This window comes from Homo sapiens, chromosome 20 (genome assembly GCF_000001405.40).
Source record: "Homo sapiens chromosome 20, GRCh38.p14 Primary Assembly".
In the NCBI taxonomy this organism is placed as follows: domain Eukaryota; kingdom Metazoa; phylum Chordata; class Mammalia; order Primates; family Hominidae; genus Homo; species Homo sapiens.
In genome coordinates, this window is record NC_000020.11 from 45,879,677 (window position 1) to 45,885,938 (window position 6,262).

Genomic DNA, 6,262 nt, shown 5'->3' on the forward strand with positions numbered 1-6,262 from the left:
GTTGATTTCAGGTTTCCTTATATTCTAGCGGGAAGAGGCCAAATAGACTGGAGGGTGTGGGGGAAAAACCTGAATCTTAGACTTGACTGCCAGCAACTTGCTGGGGAACTGTGGGCAATTTCTTTGACCTCAGTTTCCTCTGTAAAAATTAGCATGTTGGCCTGTTCTAATCCCAGATTTCCCCTCTAGGTTTACATAAGCACCTTTTTGTTTTTTGTTTTGAGATGGAGTTTCGCTCTTGTTGCTTGTTGCCCAGGCTAGAGTGCAATGGCAGAATCTCGGCTCACTGCAACCTCTGCCTACTGGGTTCAAGCGATTCTGCCTCAGCCTCTTGAGTAGCTGGGATTATAAGCATGTGCCACCACGCCTGCCTAATTTTTTGTATTTAGAGATGGGGTTTCACCATGTTGGTCGGGCTGGTCTTGAACTCCCGATCTCAGGCAATCCACCTGCCTCAGCCTCTCAAAGTGCTGGGATTAAAGGGATGACCTACTGCACCCAGCCCAATAACATTTTCGATGCGTAAGTACCAACACTGATTTGATGTTGCTAGTTGGTAATCTTAATCCTCCAAGGCCTGGTAAACACCCAGTTTTCTAAGTCTGCCATCTTCAAGGGAACTGAGGACAAGAGACCAGTTAGTAGGCCCTTGCACTACTGTAGTAGGACCCTAAATAAGTCATGGCATCATTCTGTAGAATACTGGAGGGGGTTGGGCTAGAGAATGCCAAGTTTTGGCTTGTTTAAGGGGATCTGGATTTCCTCAGCTCTAAAAGTTGGGCTCCTGATCCCCGAAGGAGGAGTAGAATTTGAGACCTGGAACTCAGTTTCCCCATAAGGTAGAATATGCGTTATGACTATATATGCACTGTTTCCTAAATTCCAGGGGCTTTAGAGTTTCACACACACACACACAACAAAACAAAACCCGCGGTGGCTCACGCCTGTAATCCCAGCACTTTGGGAGGCTGAGGTGGGCGAATCACGAGGCCAGGAGTTCGAGACCAGCCTGGCCAACAGGGTGAAACCCCGTCTCTACTAAAAATACAAAAAATTAACTGGGCGTGGTGGCGGGTGCCTGTAATCCCAGCTACTCAGGAGGCTGAGGCAGGAGAATCATCGCTTGAACCTGGGAGGCGGAGGTTGCTGTGAGTCGAGATCTTGCCACTGCACTCCATCCCAGGCGACAGTGCGAGACTCCATCTCAAAAAAAGAAAAAGAAAAAATATATATATAACTGCTATTTATTTTCCTTTTCATTTTCTGCTTTTGAGGGAGTTTCCATAGTAACGTGTCCTTCCAGTCGCCTAGCCTGAAGGGAAGCCCCGGAGCTCCAGCTTCAAGGCTCAGCTCTCCCAGATGCAAGTATCTTTACCTCCAGCCAGCTCCTTGTAACCCTGGCAACACGGCCCGCCCGCGAATCGTCACGCTACGATTGGTCCGTGGTGCTAAAGCCTGAAAGCGAATTCCTCAGACATTGGTCCGAGTCACTGCGATGCTGACGCTGTGGTTGGTGAGTTTGGATGTCAGTCAGAGTCGGAGGCAGGGTCAAATAGGGAGAAATGGCGACGGAGCCTGGCTGTGGGTGAGTGCTTCCTGAAGGGGTGAAAGTGTGAGACAGCGGATCACCGCAGTTAGCCGTCACACAGCTCCCAAAGGGATGGGAGGGAGGTTTTCTTCTCATCCGGCTCCAGCTGGACTCTGGGAATGTCAGACATCCACATCTCCCACCCAGGTTAGAGGTGAGAGGTCAAAGGCCGTATTCCCTCTGTTGGTTTTTGGACCCCAGGTACTGTGGACAGCAGTCAGGATCCCGAACCAAAGACTCAACTTTCAGCTACTTACAGAGTAATGGTGGGCAAGTCACTTAGCTTCTTTGAGCCTTAGTTTATCATCTGTAAAATGAGGACAGTAACTCGGTCTGGGGCCAAATAGAGGAAACAATGGAATAGAGTATTGCTGCTAAAAGAGGGATATAGTAGAGGCAGGAGAAGCTATGCACATTTGTTAGCCATATTTTATGGTGGAAGGGATTGAGGCTCAGAGAGGGTCATTGACTTGCCCAAGATAACACAGCAAGTTTGGAGCAATTGCAGTTCTCTTATACATACCAGGACCAAAGGAAAGAATGGATGCCAATCAGTCATTTATAAATATAAAATCGTATTTTTATTTTATTTTATTTTTTGAGACAGAGTTTCACTCTGTCACCCAGAGCTGGAGTGCAGTGGCGCAATCTCGGCTCACTGCAACCTCAGCCTCCTGGGTTCAAGCAGGTCTCCTGCCTCAGCCTCCCGAGTAGCTGAGACTACAGGCATGGGCCACCATACCCGGCTAATTCTTTTTGTATTTTTAGTAGAGACGGGTTTTCACCATGTTGGCCAGGCTGGTCTCGAACTCCCAACCTCAAGTTATCTGCCCACCTTGGCCTCCCAAAGTACTGGGATTACAGGTGTGAGCCACTGCACCTGGCTAGAATGCTATTTTTTTAAAAGGCCATATGCAGCTCTGGCCATACCTATTTAAATCCCCTGGAACCATATCTTTCCATAGCTAACTTCTTATCATTTAGATTTCAGCTCCAATGTCATCCTTCTCCCCTGAGAGGCCTTCCATTACCACTTTAACTAAAGTATCCCTCCCTTCCCCAGCTTACTCTCTGACATGTTACTCAGGTTTATGGTCTTTGTAAGCTTCATTATTGGATATATATTTGCTTATTTGTTTACATGTTTATTGTGTATCTTCCCCTAGAACAGTGCTGACATATAGTAAGTGTTCAACAAATATTGTGTGGATGAATAATTGAAGAGCCAGGTCCCTGCTGTCTCCTTAAACCTCTGTTACTCTCCATAGGCCCATCTTTGGAAAAAAGATCTGGGAATGATTGTCTAGCCTCCAGCCTCAACTTACTTGATGCTTGAGAGACTCAAAGCCCCGTGGTCAGCTGCCCTGCAAAGAAAGTATTTTGACCTTGGCATTTGGACAGCTCCCATCTCTCCCATGGCCCTGACAATGCTGAATGGGCTCCTGATTAAGGACTCAAGCCCACCTATGCTGCTGCACCAGGTTAACAAGACTGCCCAGTTAGATACCTTCAACTACCAGAGCTGCTTTATGCAAAGTGTCTTTGACCATTTCCCTGAGATCTTATTTATCCACCGGACCTATAACCCAAGGGGTAAGGTCTTATATACCTTCCTGGTGGATGGACCTCGGGTGCAGCTGGAGGGTCATCTTGCCCGAGCAGTCTACTTTGCCATCCCTGCCAAGGAGGACACTGAAGGCCTGGCCCAGATGTTCCAAGTATTCAAGAAGTTTAATCCAGCATGGGAGAGAGTCTGTACCATCCTGGTGGATCCTCATTTCCTTCCACTGCCTATCCTAGCTATGGAGTTCCCCACAGCTGAGGTCCTTCTCTCAGCCTTCCACATTTGTAAGTTCCTCCAGGCCAAGTTCTATCAGCTGTCCCTTGAACGGCCCGTGGAAAGGCTGCTCCTGACCTCCCTGCAGAGCACAATGTGCTCAGCCACAGCAGGCAACCTGAGAAAGTTGTATACACTCCTGAGCAACTGCATCCCTCCAGCCAAGCTGCCCGAGCTTCACTCACACTGGCTGCTCAACGACCGCATCTGGCTGGCTCACCGCTGGAGAAGCCGAGCTGAGAGCAGCCACTACTTCCAGAGCCTCGAGGTCACCACCCACATCCTCAGCCAGTTCTTTGGTACCACCCCATCTGAGAAACAAGGTATGGCTTCTCTGTTCCGTTACATGCAGCAGAACTCTGCAGACAAGGCAAACTTCAACCAGGGCCTGTGTGCCCAGAACAATCATGCTCCCTCAGACACCATCCCCGAAAGCCCCAAACTGGAGCAGCTGGTAGAATCCCACATCCAGCACTCCCTCAATGCCATCTGCACAGGGCCAGCAGCCCAACTGTGCCTGGGCGAGCTTGCTGTGGTCCAGAAATCCACACACCTCATTGGCTCTGGCTCAGAAAAGATGAACATACAGATCCTGGAAGATACCCATAAGGTGCAGCCCCAGCCCCCTGCCAGCTGCAGCTGCTACTTTAACCAGGCCTTCCACCTGCCCTGCCGCCACATCCTAGCCATGCTCAGTGCCCGCCGCCAGGTGCTCCAGCCCGACATGCTGCCGGCTCAGTGGACGGCAGGCTGTGCTACCAGTCTAGACAGCATCCTGGGCAGCAAGTGGAGTGAGACCCTGGATAAGCACCTGGCAGTGACTCACCTCACCGAGGAGGTGGGTCAGCTGTTGCAGCACTGCACCAAGGAGGAGTTTGAGCGGAGGTATAGCACCCTGCGGGAACTGGCCGACAGCTGGATTGGGCCTTATGAGCAGGTCCAACTCTGATTATTCTCGATGCCCAGAGATGCTCATGCACCTGTGCACACTCACATCCACCCATACACACACACACACACACACACACACACACACACACACTCCCTTACACTGTTGTACTTCCGTGGGCCCTCCTTCCAGAACAAGGACAACAAGGACAAGGTTGAAGGGTCTTCTCATCTACCATGGCCTGCTACCTAGCATGTGTCTAGCTCAATGAGACAGGAGTCAGCAAATCTTAATCTGTTTAGTTTACTCAGGTGGCCACATACAGTCTCTGTTGTATATTCTTGGTTTTGTTTTAATATTTTTTTTCTTTTTTTTTTTTTTTTTTTTTTTGAGAAGGAGTCTGTCTCCGTCACCCAGGCTGGAGTGCAGTGGCGCAATCTCTGCTCACTGCAAGCTCCACCTCCTGGGTTCACACCATTCTCCTGCCTCAGCCTCCCGAGTATCTGGGACTACAGGCGCCCGCCACAATGCCGGGCTAATTTTTTGTATTTTTAGTAGAGACGGGGTTTCACCGTGTTAGCCAGGATGGTCTCGATCTCCTGACTTCGTGATCTGCCCGCCTCGGCCTCCCAAAGTGCTGGGATTACAGGCGTGAGCCATCGCACCCGGCCTGTTTTAACATTTTCATAAGGTAAAAACCTTTCTTAGCTCAAAGGTCTTTAAAAAAGCAGGCAATCCAGCTGGGCATGGTGGCTCACGCCTGTAATCCCAGCATTTTGGGAGGCTGAGGTGGACAGATGACTTGAGGTCAGGAGTTCAAGACCAGCCTGGCCAACATAGTGAAACCCTGTCTCTACTAAAAATACACAAATTAGCCAGGTGTGGTGGCGGGGGCCCTGTAATCCCAGCTACTCGGGAGGCTGAGGCAGGAGAATCGCTTGAACCTGGGAGGCAGAGGTTGCAGTAGGCCAAGATCCTGCTGCCACTGCACTCCAGCCTGGGAGGGTGAGACTCCATCTAAAAAAAATAAAATAAATGGCAACCCCTGGTCTAAGATAAGAGATAAAACATCAGGTGGTGAGGTTGAGGTTTGGGGCTTGGTAGCAGTTGCCCCAGTCATGAGATGACTCACTTAACCCGTCTCCTTTAAGTGAGCTGGGCTGGGAGGCTTCCTACAGGGGAAGAGGCCCCTCTGGGGAGCTGACTCAGCCAGGCTCCCTGAACTTTTTTCCTTGTCCCATCCTGGGGTCAATAAAACTGAATGTTGCATATTCTAGCACTTGTCTAGTTTTTTTTTTGTTCCATAGAAGGCAGTTTAGGGTATATCATGGAGAGAATAGACTTTAGAGTGTTATACAACATGTGAATCCTGGTTGGTTCCTTCCCTGCTTGATTTTTGTGCCTGGTTCTGCCTTTTACTAGCTATGAGACTTATTAGGATAAGTTACCCCTCTAAACCTCAACCTGATTATCTGTAAAAATGGGGATCTCCACAGGGTATGTTCACAGAGCAGGCATACCTAGTGGGTGCTCAATTAAGTATTAATTTTCCTTCCTTGCCTATGGTCCTATGACCTGCCTTCAACATGCTGGGAAATTTAAGGCAAGAGGAGAATTCAAATACCTAGGACTTAATATAAGAAATTCTGGCCAGGCATGGTGGCTCACACCTGTAATCCCAGCACTTTGGGAGGCCGAGGCAGGCGGATCACCTGAGGTCGGGAGTTTGAGACCAGCCTGACCAACATGGTGAAACCGTGTCTCTACTAAAAATACAAAAATTAGCCGGGCGTAGTGGCAGGCACCTGTAATCCCAGCTATTCGGGAAGCTGAGGCAGGAGAATCACTTGAACCTGGGAGACGGAGGTTGCAGTGAGCCAAGATCATGCCATTGCACTCCAGCCTAGGTGACAGAGCAAGACTCTGTCTAAAAGATAAAAATTAAAAA

General features: G+C 49.4%; 1 protein-coding gene across 4 annotated transcripts, besides 2 other annotated features; it reads left to right on the forward strand.

The window, feature by feature from the left end:
* Positions 1,244–5,590, forward strand: ZSWIM1 (zinc finger SWIM-type containing 1). 4 transcript variants are annotated; one of them, XM_005260611.5, is made up of 2 exons: positions 1,244–1,513; positions 2,857–5,590. In XM_005260611.5, exon 2 carries the CDS (start codon positions 2,917–2,919, stop codon positions 4,372–4,374), a length of 1,458 nt encoding a protein of 485 aa, XP_005260668.1. In that variant the 5' UTR covers positions 1,244–1,513; positions 2,857–2,916; the 3' UTR covers positions 4,375–5,590. The 4 variants fall into 4 exon arrangements, with proteins under 4 accessions (XP_005260668.1, XP_005260667.1, XP_011527402.1 ...); XM_005260610.6 differs by lacking the exon at positions 1,244–1,513 and adding an exon at positions 1,551–1,742; XM_011529100.3 differs by lacking the exon at positions 1,244–1,513 and adding an exon at positions 1,551–1,735.
* Positions 1,261–1,310: an enhancer, noted in NCBI's record as "active region_17952". NCBI's record gives its function as "activates an Ori minimal core promoter by ATAC-STARR-seq in GM12878 lymphoblastoid cells {active_cell/tissue: GM12878}" and the evidence as "EXISTENCE:reporter gene assay evidence [ECO:0000049][PMID:35858748]".
* Positions 1,561–1,640: an enhancer, noted in NCBI's record as "active region_17953". NCBI's record gives its function as "activates an Ori minimal core promoter by ATAC-STARR-seq in GM12878 lymphoblastoid cells {active_cell/tissue: GM12878}" and the evidence as "EXISTENCE:reporter gene assay evidence [ECO:0000049][PMID:35858748]".
* Positions 5,591–6,262: the final 672 nt, after the last annotated feature.

What these genes read in the sequence shown, in the direction of transcription:
- ZSWIM1 (XM_005260611.5), top strand. Translation starts at nt 2,917, where the DNA reads ATGCTTGAGAGACTCAAAGCCCCGTGGTCAGCTGCCCTGCAAAGAAAG.